General features: G+C 38.5%; 1 protein-coding gene across 54 annotated transcripts in view, besides 1 other annotated feature; it reads left to right on the forward strand.

Moving 5' to 3' along the window:
* ERC1 (ELKS/RAB6-interacting/CAST family member 1) overlaps window positions 1-21,878 on the forward strand; it is a 505,975-nt gene that overhangs the window by 311,587 nt on the left and 172,510 nt on the right. The window lies entirely within an intron of this gene.
* Window positions 2,026-2,568: an enhancer, noted in NCBI's record as "H3K4me1 hESC enhancer chr12:1412737-1413279 (GRCh37/hg19 assembly coordinates)". NCBI's record gives its function as "activates a minimal SCP1, AML or CMV promoter by ChIP-STARR-seq in naive H9 embryonic stem cells {active_cell/tissue: H9 hESC(naive)}" and the evidence as "EXISTENCE:reporter gene assay evidence [ECO:0000049][PMID:30033119]".

Raw genomic sequence — 21,878 nt, forward strand, 5'->3', positions numbered from 1 at the left:
TTAGCAAACTAACGCAGGAACAGAAAACCAAATACCACATGTTCTTACAAGGGGAGCTAAATGATGGCAACACATGGACCCATAGAGGGGAACAACAGACTCTGAGGTCTATTGGAGGGTGGAGAGTGGAGGGTGGGAGAAGGGAGAGGATCAGGAAAAATGACTAATGAGTACTAGACCTAATACCTGAGCGATGAAATAGTCTGTACAACAAGACTTCGTGACACAAGTTTACCTATTTAACAAACCTTCACATGTGCCCCTGAACTTAAAAATTAAGAAAAAGAAAGAAAAAGAAATAGAATTTATAATCAAAAACATTCCTACAAAGAAAACTCCAGGCCCCAATGGCTTTACTGTTGAATTCTACCAAATGTTTAAGCAAGATGTAATACCAGTCTTAGAGAAACTCATTCACAAAATAAAGAAGGTATTATAGAAATACTTACCAAGTCAGCTTAGAATTGTGACCCTCCTGCCTAAACTTGACAAAGACATTGCAAAAGAATAAATTACACATCAGTGTCACTCATGAACATTGACATAAAAGTCCCTAACAAAACCTTAGCAATTTGAATTCAATATAAATAAGAAAGCTAATATATCACAACCAGGTTGGCCTTATTTCTAGAATGTAAGGTTTGTTCAGTATTCAAAAATGAATTAATTAAACTCACTACCTGAACAAAATACAGAAAAAAATCATTTAGTCACCTGAGAACATTCAGAAAGGCTTTTAATAAAAGGCAACACCCATTTATGATAAAATATCTTAGCTGACTAGAGATAGAAGGTAATTCAGCTTAGTAAAGAGCATCATGAAAAATTTACAGCTGACATCATACCTAATGATGTAAGCTGAACCCTGAGATTGCAAAAGAGATAACAATGTCTATATCCCCCTATTCAATACTATATTGGAGATCCTAGTAATGCAAGAAAAGAAGGAGGGAAAAAGCATAAAATTCAAAAGAAAATTCTAAAACGTATGTATTCATAAACATGGTTGTTTAGGGCATTTTAGGCATAGTTTGGGGATACTGCAAGTTTTGTTCCAGACTACTGAAATAAAGTGCATATTGTAATAAGGCGAGTCACGCAAATTTATTGGTTTCCCAGTGCTTATAAAAGTTATATGTAAGCAGGGTGGAATGGGTCACGCCTGTAATCCCAGCACTTTGGGGCCATGGAAGGTGGATTGCTTGAGCCCAGGAGTTCAGGACCAGCCTGGGCAACATAGAACCTGTCGCTACAAAAAAAGAAAATAAATAGCGGGGCATGGTGGCACACACCAGTGGTCCCAGCTACTCGGGAGGCTGAGGCAGGAGGATTGCTTGAGCCCAGAAAGTCAAGGCTGCAGTGAGCTGTAATCGCATCACTGCACTCCAGCCTGGGTGATAAAGTGAGATCTTGTCTCGAAAAGAAAAAGTTATATGTACACTATGCTATAGTCTGTTAAATGTGCAGTAGCGTTGTGTCTTAAAAAATGTGCATACTTTAAAAATGCTTTATTTAAAAAAAATTCTCCTGATCATCTTGAGCCTTCAGGGAGTCATGATCTTTTTGCTGGTGGAGGGTCCTGCCTCTATCTTGATGGCTGCTGACTGAGCAGAGTGGTGGTTGCTGAAGGTTCGGGTAGCTGTAGCAATTTCTTAAAATAAGACAGTAATAAAGTTGCCACATCAATGGACTCTTCCTTTCACAAAAGATTTTTCTGAAGCATGGGATGCTGTTTGATAAGCATTTTACCCACAGTAGAACTTCTTTCAAAATTGGAGTCAATCCTCTCAATCTTGATGCTGCTTTACCGGCCGGGCGCCGTGGCTCACGCCTGTAATCCCAGCACTTTGGGAGGCCGAGGCAGGCGGATCACAAGGTCAGGAGATCGAGACCATCCTGGCTAACATGGTGAAACCCCGTCTCTACTAAAAATACAAAAAAAAATTAGCTGGGTGTGGCGGCGTGCACCTGTAGTCCCAGCTGCTGGGGAGACTGAGGCAGGAGAATGGCATGAACCCAGGAGGCGGAGCGTGCAGTGAGCTGAGATCTCGCCACTGCACTCCAGCCTGCATGACAGAGCAAGAGTCCATCTCAAAAAAAAAAATAAATAAATAAAAATAATTCTATCGGCCAGGCGTGGTGGCTCACGTCTGTAATCCCAGCACTTTGGGAGGCCAAGGCGGGGCATCACCTGAGGTCGGGAGTTTGAGACCAGCCTGACCAACATGGAGAAACCTTGTCTCTACTAAAAATACAAAATTAGCTGGGTGTGGTGGCGCATGCCTGTAATCCCAGCTACTCAAGAGGCTGAGGCAGGAGAATTGCTGGAACCCGGGGGCAGAGGTTATGGTGAGCCAAGATCACGCCATTGCACTCCAGCCTGGGCAACAAGAGCAAAACTCCATCTCAGAAAAAAAAAAAAAAAGAATTCCATTAGCTATATCCAAGGTTTGATATATATCTAGATTTTTTTTTCTCATGTATGATGAAGTCTCTGGATTCCTGAGTGTTTCTTTTTAACCTATTTAGGGTGTGGTGGTTTCATTTCATAAAATTGGGAGTTGGGAGAGAGGTATTTGTTGTGGAGTTCACAGTATTATTGTATTGTGGTGAAAAAACATAGTCTATAAAAGGAAAACACAGGAGGTGTAAATACCACTACAGTCAAGATTTTAAAACTATCCACTGACCAGATGTACTGGCATTGAACTGTTGATTTTTGTCCTCAGGCTGGTGTCAAGTGATGCCATCCTTTTGAGTGTTCCTAGGTCTCTTCCTTAGATATATGAAAATGTTTCTCAGAAGTCCTGATATCCAGCCTCCCCCAACAGTAGACTTTTACTCACATCTGTTAGGCTAGACAGAGTCCCGTGCCAAGTCATTGAGGAGGGAAAGTGGGATTATCGTTCTTGGCCTAATCTAATCAGCACCTACCTCTGAGGTTTAGAGATAGTCTTTAAGGCACTCTGCGAAGGCAAGATACATGAAAAACAGTTGGAAGCACAACTGGTTAAGCAGCCAAAAGAGTCTTCGGTTGTCTCTGAGTTGCTATCTTTCAATATGCCTGGGTGTCAGCCAATTTATTGGAAGGGAGAAAGAATATTGGTTGATCTGGAGAGTCTGATAATTGGCATTCTGTTAGGAGAACCTCTGTTATGCTTATTTAAAGGCCCTTTAACACAGTTCTATTATTTCGAGTTTTTACAATGTGAAGTCTTCTGTTTGTTGTAACTCTTTTTTTTTTTTTTTTTTTTTTTTTTTTGAGACGGAGTCTCGCTCTGCTGCCCGGGCTGGAGTACAGTGGCGTGATCTCGGCTCACTGCAAGCTCCGCCTCCCGGGTTGACGCCATTCTCCTACCTCAGCCTCCCGAGTAGCTGGGACTACAGGCGCCCGCCCCCACGCCCGGCTAATTTTTTGTATTTTTAGTAGAGACGGGTTTCACCGTGTTGGCCAGGATGGTCTCGATCTCCGGATCCACCCACCTTGGCCTCCCAAAGTGCTGGGATTACAGGCGTGAGCCACTGCTCCCGGCCTGTTTGTTGTAACTCTTAAACGAGGACTTGTTTTCTAATCTTTGGTAGCTGTGCTTCTGTGGAGCTACTTTCCTTGGGAGTCCTGTTCCTTCAGAGCAGCGTCCAGGTTCTCTCTCTGGGGACTTAGTACACTCACTCTTTCTGGACCAGTTTTTATGTTAATTTCTGTGCTTGGGATTCTGTGTGTCTCTCATGCATCAGTGATTTCTAATGAGTAATTCTTTTCCTACCCATAGCCTAAGAGTCTTTGTTGCTTCATTGGGCTAGTAAGTAAAGTTTTTCTAAAGGTCTCTATTTTTACAGGGATAGTCAACCTTTGTGACTTTCTTTAACTTTATGCAGAAAGGTTAGTTCCATCTCCTCCTGAGCCCCAGTCCTGGGATCTCCTCCCTAAGGCTTATAACCCAGTTTTTAACCTACCGCTCCCTCGCCCCACCCCCGTAAGTTATTTCCACTTAAACTCATCAGCTATAACTGAATTCTTTGTTATTAGCACTTCTCCTGCTTTGGCTAAAGCTCAATACCTAATTATTATTTTCTTTTTATGCACTATTTTTATGAGTTTGGAGCAAGAGGGGAGGGTCATGTTGGGTTCCTTCACAATATTTATCACAAGTACAAGTTCCAATTTAAGCTAATTTATTTTCAGTCTGTTAGGATTTTTTTCTCCTTCTCTCCTAATTTTTGTCAACTGTTATTTTTGTAATCATTCTTTTTCTTCCTGAAGTCTTCAAAATCCATCAGATGGATTTGATTGTTGCTTTTTAGATATATATCTGTTGCAAAGTTTTTGCCATTGCTTATGGGATGGGATGAATTACAGCTCTCTTAAACAACAGTTTTCTGTGGAAAGGCAGCAGAAGGCAATGATGAAAGATGTACTTCCTGCTCTTCATCTCTATTTCTGAAATCTTATTTTGTTTCCTGAGTTTCTGTAAGAGTTACTTCTGCTTAAAACTTCTGCCTTTACCCAAACTTTATGGTGTCTTCTGGAATAGTTTATTTTTCCAGTATACTTTAAAGAAAAAAAAACCTTCGGTTCTCAGCCTGCTCATGACATCCAGCTCCTGTTGCTTTGGCTCAGAGTTCCATTCTACCTCATGATAAACACCTTCGTATCTCATTATATCTTAAATTCTCTAAGCTCTAGGAGCAGACTTACAGAGGGAGCATACTGTACTATTTAAATGAGCCATGACAGGCCTGGGAGTGGAACTTACTGCTGGGAAGTAGACCAGGTGGTATTAAAGGGGCTTGTTCCATGTGGCAATTGCTCCACCCGTTAATACTGAAGTAGAAAATTGGAGGAGTAAACCACGTTCAGTTGCTAATTTCCTGTGGAGATAAGACAGACACACTGTGCTTGTGTATTTCCATCTCTCCATGTAAAACTGTATTGGAAAACATTTCTTTTTATTTCTAGGTCTGATTTTTTTGTTGTAGTTTTATTTTATTGGCAGAGTTCATGTAGCTAAACCCCTCAGTGCTTCAATTTAAGACATCGGGAGATGAATGAAATTGTTATGTTATTAAGTAGATGCTGCAGCTCTGCTTGCTAGGGATGAAATCCTATTTTATGAAATAATATAGTGTGAAGCTGTCAGTAATTTCCAATTGTAGAAGAGGCCTAATCAGAAAGTTGGGTTTTTTTTGTTTTTTGTTTTTTGTTTTTTTTAGACAGGCCCAGACAGTTTTTTGACCAGACATCTATACATGTTTCAGTGAGTTAATTACTCATTTTATTGTAATTTCATCTGTTAGAAAGTACCCAAATAATTGCAAAGTTTATGTATATAAACTTTTATGGATATATCACAGGCAAACAATAGGTGATCTTTGGCATGGTTGTAGTTGGGAGGTTTCAGATGGAGATACTGTGGGCACATGCCCTCTTCTTCCCAGCTGGCATCCTGGGAAGTGCTGACGGGCTCCGGAGCAAGTGAGGCCCTAGAGACTGTTTATGACACGTCAGTGTTCATTTGTGTCTCATCTCTTTGATCGCTAAGAAGATACCTGTTTTACTAAAGCTCAGCTGTTGTCAGTTTCTTTGGATTGATTGTCTTAAAGGGAAAGATAAATCAACTTTGTTTTTTTCCTGAAGATAGCTAATCAGGTCATTTAATTTTGGACCAATAAGTAAAAGAATAACTGAGTTTAATGAGTATTGCGTAAAATAAGTTCTTGGTGATTTGACCCTGGGTTGACTTGGCATGAATTTTCTTTCTTTTCAACTCCCTGCTGCCCACTTTGTGGTGTTGTATGAATAATGAGTCCACAGGCCCTGTAAACATGTTAGGTGAGGTGTTTGTTGTTTATTAGTAGTTGGGATTAAATAGAAGTTGCACACTGAAATTGAGTGAAGTGACTTTTCTGCAGTTAACTTGGATGTCATTGGTTTGAAGGAGTTTTTCTGTTGCAGCTGCTTGTCCTACTACTTTTAGCTGTGGGTGCATCCTTTCTGCGTCCTGCTAAAAATTATATTCTTGTTTTCACTTTTAAAACCTAAGACGGTTCCAGAGCTGTGTTTGGTTTTTGCTTTAAACTAATGCCCGAGCGCCCCTTTAGTTAGTCACCAATCACTGTTTAGGTAAGTTGATGATTCCTTTTTGCTACCCAAGATTTTTTTATTTAAAATTGAGCATTTTTAACTTGCTTTTTAGGTCAGAGGATCAATGTCCTCTGTGGTATTCCTCCTCCATCTAAGCTTCTTAAAGCAGTATTATAAATAGAGGCTTTCAACCTAAAAAGTACTGTGTATTTCATTGACTAGAACTGAACTGAACTGTAGGCTAATAAAAAGTACCAAATGAAAATATTATGGTATCTCATTGCACTCCATTGTAGATGTAATGTAGTGTGACCAGCAGTAGCTTTGATTCATTGTAAATCCCATCTGAATACTGACAACAGTTCAAAACATCAGGAGATAAACCTCAAAGGTCACATTTGTGTGAATGGTCATTGTGCATATAAGACATCATTTTATTATTTGAAAACTAGTAGTGTAGCTCTTAAGACAGGGCAGTGTCCTAACCTCTGACAGGGATAGAGGCGAGAGGAGAATCAGTGGGCTGCCAAACAGTCATGTGTTCATAGGTGAGGTTCTGTTTCTTCTTTAGCTGTTACTATTGTTATTATTATTATTATTATTATTTGCATGAATGGTAGCAGTTACTTCACAGGCAAATTTCCTATGAATCCCAGAGTATTGCAACAGATTAGCAGCAAATAAAGACCTGAGATAAAGAAAAAAAAAATGCTTTTATTCAGTTATATTAAAATTAGGACATTTCAATAAAAAACTAAAGCAGCTTATGTTGTTCTGCATGCATAAATTGAAAGAATACTTGAAAATTCTTCAAACTTGATGGTAGACATTATCTTACAGCTTTCTTAAAGGAAGTCAGTTTCTTGGCAGTAGGACAGAGGTTCCCAACATTACTTGGTTCTAGCACAATCACTAAATTTTTCGTGACTTTTAGACCAAAATAAATACTTAACAGTTCCTAACAGTTTGTTGTGTTCCAACAGTTTGTAATCATGTCAAAAAATAATAGACATATTAGTAATAATAAATTGAAAGAAAATATTTTAATTTCTTATTACTTACTCATCAAATGTGTGATTGTTGGGCATGGCACAGTTTTTTAAACCTTGGAATCAGATTGGCCACTGCCAACTTCATTTCTTGTTCCACGCTAATTTCTGTGCAGAACTGTGCTGTGCTTTTAGTCACAGTGCTGCGGTCTGAATGGTTATGTCCCCCCAAAATTCATGTGTTGAGATTCTGACCCCAAGGTGATCATATTAGGAGGTGTGGAGCCTTTGGGAGTGATTAGGTCTTGAAGGTGGAGTTCTTATGAATGGGATTCGTGTCCTTGTAGGAGAGACCCCAGAGAACTCATTTGCCCCTTCCACTGTGTGAGAAAAGCTGTGAGTAGATGCCATCTGTGAACCAGAAAGCGGACTGTCACCAGATACTGAATCTTACAGCACTTTGATTTTAGGCTTTCCAGCCTCTGGAACTGTGAGAAGTAATTTTTTGTTGTTTATAAGCTACCTAGTTTATGATATTTTGTTACAGCGGCTTGAATAGACTAAGATACACCGCAACCATCAAAAACTCAATTTCGAAGAGATGGAATATCATGAACAATAATTTTGCATGATGTCGTATTGAACTGTGAAATACCACAAGCTAGTAATTTGCACACTGTCTGACAGCACTGTGTTTCTCAAAATTTAAAATGCTCTGCAGTACCCCTGTGAGTTCCCTGGGGTGCTGCAGTGCACAATTTGGGAACTGTGGTAGTATTGTAGATAGTAAGATTATCTAATAATAAGTATTGATGACATCTTAGTTTAGGAATAATTATTAGTATGTCAGACTATAGGGGAAGTGAGTAAATCATATACTAGGTTGTTATCAGAATGATTATGAATTTCTTCACCCACCTGTGGAGAGACAGCATGGCCTATTTTTTTACTCTGACCCCAATAAGAAAAGTATTCTGTACCTTCCCCCTTCTCTCTCCCTTTTTGTCTCTTCGTTATCTCTCACTCTTGCTCTAACAGACACACACATAGTGAAATAAGTATTTAACAAAACAGTATTCTCATTATGTGCACTCTGACTTTTTTTTTTTTTTTTTTTAATGTCTCCTTAAGACCTACTGAACTGACGGAAACTAGTTAAGGTCACAGACTCGAGAGACTGACGACTTTAAAATGGCCTTCACCATTTCCTGTCTGTGTGACTGTAAGCAAGTTATGTAACCTCTCAGTTACTCAGTTTCCTCGTCTATAGAGTGGTAATTTGTAATAGTACCTAGTGCTGAGGGGATTTGTTTTCTTTTGTTTTGTTTTGTTTTGTTTTGTTTTGTTTTGAGACAGAGTCTCGTGCTGTCGCCCAGGCTGGAATGCAATGGTGCGATCTTGGCTCGCTGCAAGCTCTGCCTCCCGGGTTCACGCCATTCTCCTGCCTCAGACTCCTGAGTAGCTGGGACTACAGGCACCCGCCACCATGCCTGGCTAATTTTTTGTATTTTTAATAGAGAAGGGGTTTCACCGTGTTAGTGCTGAGGGGATTTTAAGGAAGTTAATACATGTAAAACACTTTAAACAGTTCTTTTTTATTTTATTTTATTTTATTTTATTTTATTTTGAGGAACAGTTTTGCTCTAATCTCCCAGACTGGAGTGCAATGGGACGATCTCGGCTCACTGCAACCTCTGCCTCTTCCTCAGCCTCCCAAGTAGCTGGGAATACAGGTGCGCGCCAACAGGCCCATCTAATTTTTTTGTATTTTTAGTAGAGATGGTGTTTTACCATGTTGGCCAGGCTCGTCTCGAACTCCTGACCTCAGGTGATCTGCCTGCCTTGGCCTCCCAAAGTGCTGGAATTACAGGCAGGAGCCACACCGCGCCTGGCCATTTAAACAGTTCTTGATCAGTAATTACTGCTTTATTACTAGAATCTCAATGAATAATCAGAGGCTAAAACATTTGGGAAATTAGGGAGATGCAGTAGTTCTGTGCTCTAAAGGGTACTGCATACAGTCAAAAGGCTTTTCTGAATTTCTGCTCTTGGGCAGATAGATTGTGTATCCCTTGCCAAAGATTTTCCGTATTTATCCTCTTGAATCTGGATCCAGTTGAGTAGTAAACGGGAGTCAAAATAAGGGAGATGAAAATACTATCGTCATTACTGACAAAGCTGATTAGAGAACATGACTTTATATTTGCAGCCAAGTAGCTTCACTAGTATATCACTCCTGCCACCAGCACAGCTGCATAACTGCAGGCTTCTTACTGCGTGGCAGAGAGTAGAACAGGATGGACCTTCTGCATAAGCAGCCAGGTCTGAAGAGGGGAGAGCAGAAGGGGCTGAACTGAGTGTGTTCACCTCTTTCTTCAAAATCTGCCAATGATATAACTCACAAGGGAGGGAGACAAGAAACATAGGCACAGAAATGTGAAGAATGAGAATATCACCTTAACAAAGGAAACATTTTATAAGGATACAGGAGGTCCATAATCAAGTTCATGTTTTGTAACTTTTAGTAGTTAGGTATCCTTTCTGGCACAAACTTTAAAAACAGATACACCAGGGTTTGAATTCTGCCTGTGTCACTTAATTGCACTGGCTTAGGCATCCTAGAATTTCTAAGAGCCGTAAAACAGACAAAACTACTTGGCAAGAAAAATTGACCACTGACTTCTCTCCCCTGTTCTGTTGATACAACATTAAATTTATCAATGTTTGTTTTTGTCAAACTTCAGTAGTGTTAGAGGTATGAGATCAGCCTTAGTTGATTAGAGGTATGAGATCAGCCTTAGTTGATTAGTAAAAAGGATTTTATATGCCTAAGATAGCAAGAGAGATATGCCTTTGATCTTTCTTATTTATAGGAAAATAATTTATTAACCTAATTTTTATTGTCACTTCTAACCTAAATACATAGTTGTCCTATTAATGGGGACCTTTTTTTCCCGTGAGCATCTGAAACAGTCTTTTTTTTCTATGTATGTGAAGTGGTAATAGTTTTTCTCGTGTATCAGGCAACTACCAACTTATTTTAGACCAGAAATTCTTGGAAATGGTACCGATCCAGTTGGCATAAAATGTGCAAGCACTATTCTATTGATTCCTCAAAAAGATGCAATTGCTTTACTCATAGAGTTATCAGTTATTTTTCTGGCTATTTCACTTGAAGTAGCCATGCTTTGTCTTTTTTTCTATGGAGATACGTGGCCAAAACTAAGTCTTTTCACCAGCTGGATGATAGGAAATTTGATAAAATTTGAGCAGTATAAAAACTTTCCCATTGACTTTATATGATTGAATTTCCACTATGTAAAATTAAACTAATTATTTCTTATGCTACCCAATATATAGTTTATTATTTGAAAACTATGTCCCCATTTTTCCTCAAGAACATGATTTTGTCTTTTGCATCTCAGTGCAGGGGTTGGACAGCATAATTTCTTCTCCTAGAAACACATTTTCTGCTGCTTGTAGCTACTATTTCTATTTTTTCATCAACAGCTACAGGAGTAAGTGGAGTTCCTGACATCTCTGTGTAATCAGTGGTATGATCACATACCCCATATTGACTTTTTCTTTTGAAGTTTATGCTGCTGTCTCTTCAGTACCTTGAGCTTGACCTCTAGCTTTAAGCAGTAAAGGTATCAAAGAAAATCAGTTGCCAGAGTCAGTCTGTTTGCTTGTGTCCTCCTAACCCACTGATGGCACCTCTGACTCCTTGACATTGTATTATTTGTTTCTCAGAGAAGTAAAGCAATTTTTTTTTTCCTCTGTCACCCAGGCTGGAATGCAGTGGCGGGATCTCGGCTCACTGCAACCACCTCCCGGGTTTGAGTGATTCTCATGCCTCAGTTTCCCGAGTAGTTGGGATTATAGGTGCCTGCCACCATGCCTGACTAATTTGTGTATTTTTAGTAGAGACGAGGTTTCACCATGTGGGTCAGGCTCGTCTCAAACTCCTGACCTCAAGTGATCTGCCCAGTTTGCCCTCCCAAAGTGCTGGTATCACAGGCGTGAACCACCACACCCGGCCAAAGCAGTTTTTTTTACATATAGACATTTAATATATTGACTTTGGTTGATTCTTACCTCACTTCCAAGATAATTGTTTCTGTTAAATTACATGTATTTTTAGGCTTGAGTCATCCACTATATTTATGAGTTGGTCATTTCTTTCATGAGTTGAGCTTGTTTTTAAAAGTTCTACTTTTAAAGTCCCCTTCTGTCTCTCCTGCAGCCACTTTCACTGTAACATTTATCATGTTATTCCTGGCAGCCAGTCTTCTTAACTCTCCATCATTACTTTTGGCAGGTTACAGCAGTATCACTTAGGGTTCTCTTAGTTCATTTTTAATGAACATCCAAAAGATGCTCCTATTGCAATAAAACCATAAGAAAAGATTAATAGAATAAGGGTTTATTCTATTAATAGGCAATTTGGGGCTGCTACAGTGGCTCCATGATACCAATGGTTCTGGGCTCTTTCTTTTCCGCTATCCTTAGTATATGGCCTTCTTCCTCCTGCTTGCAAAATGGTGGCATACAGAAGCCTTTCCTACATATTCCAGAATATGAAGAAAGACAAGGGGGAAAAGGGACGTGCCAACTGGTTAAACAACAATCACCATATCAAAGACCCACCCACTAGATTTCTTCTTCTTACTGGCCAGAACTTTGTAGCGTGCCCACCCTCTATACACAACAGGCTGCAAAGGAGGCTGGAATATCACGTTTTAGTTGGGCAGTGACTATCCAGTGCAAAATCCAGATTCCGTTAGTAAAGGATGTTGATGGAGTGGATGGATATTAAACAGAGATTCAACTTTCCTGTTCAGAAACGTGTTATAACTCCATATATTGCTTTAATTCTATCTATCCTAGATAGACTTACAAGGCTAGAATAAGACCTTTAGAGGCACTAACCAACCACCAAAAAGAGGCTAATCACCTCCCATATGTAAATCAAATTGTACAAAAAATTGAAAAAAATACATGTAAAGACCGAAAACATTTTGATTTATCCTATGACGTTTCAGTATTTTTCTGGAAGTATTAAATATTCTAAAATTTTTTTTTTTGCCCGGGTACGGTGGCTCATGCCTGTAATCCCAACACTTTGGAGGCCAAGCTGGGCGGATCCCCTGAGGTCGGGAGTTCGAGACCAGCCTGGCCAACATGGTGAAACCCTGTCTCTACTATAATACAAAAATCAGCCGGGCATGGTGGTAGGTGCCTATAATCCCAGCTACTCGGGAGGCTGAGGCAGGAGAATTGCTTGAACCTGGAAGGCGGAGTTTGCTGTGAGCCCAGATCACACCATTGCACTTCAGCCTGGGCAACAGAGTGAGACTCTGTCTAAAAACATAATAATAATAAATTAAATTAAATTAAAGTGTGTGGTAGTGATAATGGGCTGGAGGGTATGGTGAGTCTATGTTGCTGACATGCTAACCCACATCCTGTCTACTTCATCAGTATTTCCTATTGTATTAGAAAGATGAGAAGGTTCCTTAAATTTTTAACTCCATAGAGGTGATTCATTTACTATAAAGCCTTAAGAAAAATACTTACCCTATCTGGGCCTCTGTTTCTCCATCCATGAAATGAGAACATTGATCATAATAGAAAAGTAGGCAAAGAATATAATCAAGCAATTCACAAAACTATACACGCAGATGACTAATAAAATTATAAGAAAATATTAAGCCTCACTTATGACAAAAGAAGATTAAATTTAAATAAAAAGTTCCTTTCTAAAAATGTAACATAGTAGCAGAGATGTAATACCCAGTGGCAATAAGAATATAAAGAAACAAGTATTTGAGTGTAAAGATAGTCTGAAGTAGTAAACGAGGGCAACTAGGTGTATTTATCAAAGGTTTTAAAAAATGCGCAAAAACTTTTGACCCTGCAATTCTACTTTGAGGAACTTTCCTACCTGAATTTTTGACAAGCACACAATGATTGACCCTGGTAAATTGACATAAGGTATTTTTAACTCCAGCCAGTTTTTTTCTTTACTGTAGTAATTTGTGTGAAGCTTTCTAAGAAGTAAATATGTAATTTACTGTCAAAGCTTTTTTCTTTTAGAAAATCTAAGCCATGAACATTTAATATGTTTTCGTTTTACCTTATATTAGGAAGATAATGGCAATCTTTTAAAAATAAAAATTATTTCTTTGTTCATATCTTAATTTTTGTTTCAATCTGTCTGTCCATTTTGGTCTTGTCTATTTTACCTCTGGGCTCTATCTTTACTACAACCAGTCTTCCTAACTCTTCTCCCAACTTTCAGAAGTAGTTTTCTAACTATGTCAATGAAGTATTTCCAAATGAAACTTGCCAAATGGTCTAATGCCATAAAGACTTCTGCTTCTGTCTTCATTGGATTTTAGTCAGTAAATTTTCTTTCTTTTTTATTTATTTGTTTATTTATTTATTGAGAATGGAGTCTCACTCTCTCTGCTCACTGCAACCTCTGCCTCCCGGGTTCAAGCAATTTTCCTTCCTCAGCCTGCCAAGTAGCTGGGACTACAGGTGTGCACCACCACATTTGGCTAATTGTATTTTTAGTACAGGTGGGATTTCACCATGTTGTCCAGGCTGATCTTGAACTCCTGACGTCAGGTGATCCACCCACCTCGGCCTTCCAAAGTGCTGGGATTATAGAAGTGAGCCACTGCGCCCAGCCCATATTCAGAAGTTTTCTACAGTTTTTTTGTTTTGTTTTGTTTTGTTTTTTTGAGATGAAGCCTTGCTCTGTCACCCAGGCTAGAGTGCAGTGGTGTGATCTTGGCTCACTGCAACCTCCACCTCCCAGGTTCAAGCTATTCTCCTGCCTCAGCCTCCCAAGTATCTGGGATTACAGGTGCCCGCCACAACGCCTAGCTAATTTTTGTATTTTTAGTAGAGACGGGGTTTCACCATGTTGGCCAGGCTGGTCTCGAACTCCTGACCTCAGGGGATCCGCACTTTTGGAGGCCGAGGTGGGCGGATCTACAGGATTTTAAAACATGAAGTTGTGCCTCTTCCCAAATTTATTCTCAGACTTATTTTTTTACTAGTTTTATTTCTGAATGGCACATTAGAGAGAGAGAAAGCCAGAGAGAGAGAGAGCGAGAGAGAGGAAAGAAGAGACAAGGTGGGACCGATGGTATAATTGAGTTCATAGAAAGACAGTGAAGTGAATCATGGGTGTTTCATCACTTTACAAAACTGATAACAATAATATCATTTCTAGAAACGTGAATTTACAGTATGAAATGGTAAACATTTTTTTTTTTTGAGACGGAGTCTCACTCTGTCGCCCAGGCTGGAGTGCAGTGGTGCAGCCTTGGCTCACTGCAAGCTCCACCTCCAGTGAGCCATTCCCCTGCCTCAGCCTCCCCCAGCAGCTGGGACTACAGGTGCATGCCATCACGCCCGACTAATTTTTTGTATTTTTAGTAGAAATGGGGTTTCACCGTGTTAGGCAGATGGTCTTGATCTCCTGACCTCGTGATCCACCCGCCTCGGCCTCCCAAAGTGCTGGGATTACTGGCTTGAGCCACCGCGCCCGGCTGGTAAACATCTTTTTATAGCTAATGGGCACTTTTAGGCTAACTGAGCAGTGAACACTATTAAATATATGAGAAGCTTTTTAAACCACCTTCCACTTAATTCATAACTACTTGTCAGGTTGAGACTTTCTTTTCTCTGTTAACCATGCCAATTTTTGCTCAGAGCATGCTGAAAAAGCTACTAGATTACTGTCACATATACCAGGCATGGCTCTGTTAACCTGTTTAGTTGTATTATTGCTGAAAAGTTATTTATTCCAGCTATTCTTGATATTTTAATTATATATTTTTATTATTATAAGAAACCAATGACATACTCATATGAAAAAATATCTCTGTGAAATAAAGCAAAATGTTTTGGAAAAGGGATGCAGGTAAGTCATTTCAAAATTGCTGTTGTTAATGCGGGAGAGGATTTGGAAAAATAGGAACGCTTTTATACTGTTGGTGGGAGTGTAAATTAGTTCAACCATTGTGGAAGACACTGTGGCGATTCCTCAAGGATCTAGAACCAGAAATACCATTTGACCCAGCAATCCCATTACTGGATATATACCCAAAGGATTATAAATCATGCTGCTATAAAGACACATGCACACGTATGTTTATTGCAGCACTGTTCACAATAGCAAAGACTTGGAACCAAACCAAATGCCCATCAATGATAGACTGGATAAAGAAAATGTGGCACGTGGCCAGGCATGGCGGCTCATGCCTGTAATCCCAGCACTTTGGGAGGCCGAGGCGGGTGGATCACCTGAGGTCAGGAGTTCAAGACCAGCCTGGCCAACATGGTGAAACCCCATCTCTACTAAAAATACCAAAAATTAGCTGGGTGTAGTGGCAGGCACCTGTAATCCCAGCTACTCAGGAGGCTGAGACAGGAGAATCGCTTGAATCCAGGAGGCAGAGGTTGCAGTGAGCCGAGGTCATGCCATTGCACTCCACCCTGGGCAACAAGAGAGAAACTCTGTCTCAAAAACGAAAAAAAAAAAAAAAGAAAATGTGTAACATATACACCATGGAATACTATGCAGCCATAAAAAAGGATGAGTTCATGTCCTTTGCAGGGACATGGATGAAGCTGGAAACCATCATTCTCAGCAAACTAACACAGGAACAGAAAACCAAACACCGCATGTTCTCACTCATAAGTGGGAGCTGAACCGTGAGAACACATGGACACAGGGAGGGGAACATCACACACGGCCTGTCGGGGGATCAGGGGCTAGGAAAGGGATAGCATTAGGAGAAATACCTAATGTAGATGATGGGTTGATGGGTGCAGCAAACCACCATGGCACATGTATACCTATGTAACAAACCTGCACGTTCTGCACGTGTATCCCAGAACTTAAAGTATAATTTTAAAAAAAGTAAATCCAAAAAAAAATTGCTGCTGTTGAATTAGGTTAACAGTTACTGAATATTGGGAGACTTTTTGAAACCTCACAGTTTGAAATTGGCATTGTATTTCAAATGTCTGCATACTGACTAGCCCCACTTTCACACAACCAGAGCTGAAAAGGATGTGAAAAAGACAATACTGAACCTAAGTCATCAGATTATATGGTGATCTTTGGATCTCGTCTAAATGAAAAACCAGCAAAGCAGCTTCAAAGCAGCAAAACACTCTCTATATACTTTCTTTATTCTTTAAGAAATATTTTAGTTAATCACCTAGCAGACTTGAGTGTCACATAAAGGGGCTTCTTCTATAGTTTCTCATAAATAATTTGCTGATTCTGGGAACTCTAAAAGGTAAATATTTTATGTAGCATGTGTATATTGTAAATTATTTATAAAAATGTTTTAAAAGACCTAATCCTGAAATAGTAAATAACTAAAAATTTACAAATACTATTCTCAAATAGTAAATAAGTATATATGAGCTTTCAAGTTAGAACTAAAATTTCCATGATGTGATATCTATTTTAAGATTTGTTTATCAAGGAATATTGTAATTTGGGAGGATTTTTTAAAAGCAGATTTTATTTTTTCTGCCCTTCACAAAAACTAAATCTGAGCCTTGGGAAATCAGGGCAGCTGCATCATGATGTGACTTGCCTGGGGTTTGGTATTTTGCTGAGATACCTGCCAGTTGGAATTAGAACCCTATGGGTATAACTAGGGTAGACTTAATTATTGGCTTACTGTATTTAAATCAAAATGAAAAGCTCATACAAAATTTTGTACCCGTACTCTGAAAAAATGTGGAACTGTTTTTGGACTAAAATTTTATAGCTTTTGTGGCTAATGAGGCATGAAATAAATTGGCAAGCTCAAACTGTTCGGAGTACAGTGGTACAGTGTGCATTTTCTAATTCCCAGCCCTTGGGATTCCAGCAAAGGTCACAAATTAAACAAAGTCAGGATTAATCAAGACTATAATCAAATAAAACTCAATCATTAATCCTCTTCTGACTTACAATAGAGTGATTGTGTAATTGTGTGAGAAGCACTGGAGAGGGCTCTTTTGTAGTGCGTAGGAAAATCAACATTAAGGTGTCAGACAGAAAAGTGAAACCCTGCAGGTGAAGCTGTCTCTGGAGCCAAGAGAAACTGGCAATTTATGCAGAGTTGCAAGTGAAGCTTTGGAGCATTGAAAGGCTGTTGGCACTGAGCTGCAGAGCGTGTGGGTCTCTCGGTGAGGCCTCCACAGAGATCAGTTTACGGGCTGCAGCAGGCCGTTTGCTGAGAAGCTCAGTGTTTGGGTGCAGCAGCTCCAAGCAACAGTCTCTCCAAGTTAACTGCCAGAAATTTACTGTGTAATTCTCAGCTCTTTGTAATTTTGAAGAAGAGGTTATGGAAAAGCATTTCCTCTGTGGGAGTAATTATGTGTCAGAAAATGCCATTCCTCAATAAAGGGGGAAGGTTCACAAAGCACAGAACTTTGTCCTATTTATTCCATGTTCCTGACTTCTGAACTGATGCTTGCTTTCTGCTATTTTATGTTCTATAGTGATACTTTCTTCATTTTTCATCCCTTCATCTCAAGTCAGCGTCAGTTTTATTGCTTTAAAAGTCAACAGTGATACTATCCAGTTCTGCTAAGAGTGAAACTTTAAGAATAAAATTTGATTTTAATTCATCCCTTATTATATGTGAGTATATTTTTTATATTCGCTTTAAGGATAGTATTTACCTCTGTTTGTTAGCTTTCTGCTTTCCTTCGTATACCAAATAGAAAAATTCTCATTCACTCACCCCCAAAGCATGTGCCTGTTATCACATGATTCAGTTTGAGTTTCTATATTACACAATTTCTGTTTCTTACATTGCTTTTTCCTATTTATGTACTAAGCTCTCTGTATATGCAGGATACTGTTAGGTATGATATGAGATATTTATTATTTTCTTTCAAGTAAATAAACAACCATTATCCATGCATAGCTGGTCAGTCCCATAAATTTTAGTACTAAAATATCACTTGGATTATTTTATTAGCAAGACTTTATTGTAATGATGTATTTCAGATTTTGTCTTTCCATTTAGGCTCATATATGTTACATTTTGGTATCATTATTGAAACAAATTCATGAATTGAGTTCATCATTAGAAAATGAAAGCCTCAGAATTTTGGTAATTGTTTTGGACCATCACAAAAATGTGCTTGGCATATTTAAATTCTGTATTTTTTTCCCTTACCTGTAATAACTTTTCAAAGTACCTAAAGCTATGATAGAAATGGAATAGCATATAGAATACTTGTGTGTGTGTTTGTATGCAGGGGGGCGGCTTCTTATTTTTACCTTTTTTCTGATTTTATATATACAATGTTAGATATATTGTTCTGCAATTTATATTTCAGTGGAAGAATATTCATGGTTATTTTTTAAAGTCAGCATAAAGATCTGTTGCATTCTGTTTAACAAGTGCTTTGTGTTCCAGTGTATAGATACTGCATTATTTATTTCATCCTTTCTTGGTTGAAGATTGTTTAGGTTATTTCCAGTTGTGTAATATTGCAGATAATACTGTAAAGAAAATCATTATACTTGCATCTTTTCACATATGTAAGCATATTTTTCTAGGATAGATAATGGAGTTGCTGGGTCAAAACATAATGGCGTATTTTATTTTGAAAACTGTTGCTCAAGCACTCTTATAAAAGGCTCTACCCCACATGTGCTCTCACCCAAATGTGTATGAAAGTGTGCATCTCCTTAATTGTTAGGTGTAGTGGATACTATCCATCTTTTACATTTTTGCTGACTTTTATATTTGAGATATCTTTCTACACCATTACTCACCCTTTTCTTTCCAGCAGAGTAGTATTCCATAGTATTATATTTAATTAGTCCTCCATTAATGAACATTTAAGTTACTTCTAACAGTTTGCCATTACATTCAATGCTACAGAATTTTAACAAATTTGTAATGCAGAATTTTCATAAGTATAAGAATAACCTTATTACAAAAGTCATTTCACATGTATGCAAGTATATCTGCAGGATAAATTCCAAAATGTAACAAAGGGAGTATGTATTTGTAATTCTAGTTGATAGTGTTTTTTTGGTTTTTGTTGTTTTTTTGAGACGGAATCTCACTCTGTCGCCCAGGCTGGAGTGCAGTGGCACGATCTGGGCTCACTGCAAGCTCTGCCTCCCGGGTTCACGTCATTCTCCTGCCTCAGCCTCCCGAGTAGCTGGGACTACAGGCGCCCGCCACCACGCCCAGCTAATTTTTTGTATTTTTAGTAGAGACGGGGTTTCACCGTGTTAGCCAGGATGGTCTTGATCTCCTGACCTCGTGATCCGCCTGCCTCAGCTTCCCAAAGTACTGGGATTACAGGCATGAGCCACCACTCCCAGCCTCTAGTTGATAGTGTTAAATGGAAAAGGAAGATGTAAAACAGTATGCTACCATTTGTTTACAAGGGGAAGGGTATAAGAATATCCATGTGCAGGCACACATGGTAACATGGCGAGTGCGGGGGAAAATGAGGTTTCAAGTTAGAACTAAAATTAAGGGTACACTGTGACTTAGGTCACAACAGGACATAAACATTTAATTTACTCTGAGCCTCAGTTTCCACATGTATGTAAATGAAGCTAGTAAATGCCTGTTTGATAGTATTATGAGAATTAAATGCAAAATTGTATGTGAAATTATGTGACACTGTGGCCAGCATATGATACGTGTGTGTGTGTGTGTGTATATTTTGCTCTATATTGTGCCATATGTGGCACAGATATTTCTTGTAAAGGTAGCAATTGCCTGTTGTATTCATACAATGCGGAGCCTACTTGTCAATGATGCTTTTATTTAATCAATTATACATAGAGTTGTCAGCATGGAAAATGCAGCTTCTGTTTTGAATTATGTTTTACTTCTGAGTATAATTTAAAGGCAAAATGGCTTCACTCCTAGAAACTCGAGACCTCTAAAGCTTGTTCTCTTCCTGATGAATGTTCTCTTTGGGCACTTCAAATAGAGTATCTTACTCATGGCTTTAGGTGATATACTGGGAAAGCATGCAGTTGCTTTAGAAGCCTTTATAAATAATACTTGAGTGTTCAATATAAAACCAATGTTTGGCTTTCGTAACCATTTCCTACATCTCTTCTATAAGTTTATTGAATTCACAGTACACATCTACACTGTGAGAAGCATTTATCTCCTTTTGTGCTAATAAAATTAAGCAAAAGACAAAGTTACTCCCAAGTTCATAGCATATTCCTTGAAAGGAATGATTATAAGAACAAACGGGGATCAATGCATTACATCTTTAGAATACAGGAAGGAGTTTTTACTACTTCATTTTAAAAATAAGGAAATAGAGATGAAAAGCTTTCCATCTTTCCATACCACGTTCGGCAGTGGTAATATGTTTTATACCCACTAATCAAGGCATCCTCTGTGTTTTGATGCTTTGATAAGTAGTCATCTGCTTTTAAGTTTGTGATAGTAGATTGAATAAGTGTCCTCGTGCTCACGCAGGATTATATACTTATTATATACTTAGGCAAATTTGTCTTTTTGAACCAAGTTTTATCACTTAAAATGAGCATAATAATAACTAATTCATAAGAATGCTGTAAACATAAAATGAGTATTACTAACTGAGAATGTACAGTAGATAGTAGGCTCTCACTACATGCTGGTTTTCCTTCTTCCTTTCCATTCTCTTAGGAAAACTGATACTCAGAATGGCTAAGTGATCTGTGCATAGTCAAAAGGCCAATTTAGTGATAGAACTGAGACTGGATCCATCACTTTGATTACAGCTAGATTCTTTCCATTATACCAAGCAGCATCCATAGTAATTTACTTTCATTTGTACAATTTTCTATGAGAAAAAATGAGCAACAACTATCAGTTTGTCTTCAATCCTGATAAAATCTAGCACTTACAGAAATTGCTAAGAAGTAAACATTTATTACACAAACCCATGCCAGAGAGGGGTATGTTGAGTTCTAGTCTAAACATCTTTAATAATGATAATTCCATAATTCTCAGCTGTTTCTTTTAGATTGACCTTTTCTCACCTGATAAAATTTTCCAATTCTAAGCTCTTTATTCTGATTGAAATCTGACATAACTTGTCTCAGTCATCATTTTTCCATTCTGAGCTTGCTTATATTTTCTAAACTTTTAACTTGGTTCTCCAGCCTGGCGACCTTAATTTGTCCATTTTAGAACAGCCAAAATATCCTTGATTTTGCTGGATTAATTCAGTTATCTCAAATTATCTCTGACTTCCTTTTTCACACCTGATTTTCCTTAGTTTTGTTGATTAAAGATTAATATGAGTTTGTATGCCCTGACAGTGGATGATACAAAAGAAAACTGGTCTAGGAATTAGGAAACCTACTTTCTGTTTCATCTCTCTTCTTATTGCCAAGCTGTTTCCTCACTATGATGGGAAAAATTATGTTGTAATCTTATGTCTTATAAAAGAGGGCTCAAATTGGTATAGACTGTATATTTTGTGGGGAATTAATTATGTGACTATTCAACATTTGACAAATAATTTTGGACGTAAGTGTGCAATGTCTAAAGCCCGAATAATTCTAATTTTAATGTCAACGCACTTGATGAGTTGAAGTATGGTGCTTGCTGGTAATGGGGAAAAAAAAAGGCTACAACCAAAAGTATTGTGTTATATAAAATTACATGTGATTTGTTGTGCCTTCACTTTGAATATTAGCTTTCCTGACAGCCAATGTAAGATATTAGTTAACATGGAAAATAACTTCTTACATTTACATATTGCAGTTTTTCAGGGCACTTCTG

Source organism: Homo sapiens, chromosome 12 (genome assembly GCF_000001405.40).
Source record: "Homo sapiens chromosome 12, GRCh38.p14 Primary Assembly".
NCBI lineage: Eukaryota > Metazoa > Chordata > Mammalia > Primates > Hominidae > Homo > Homo sapiens.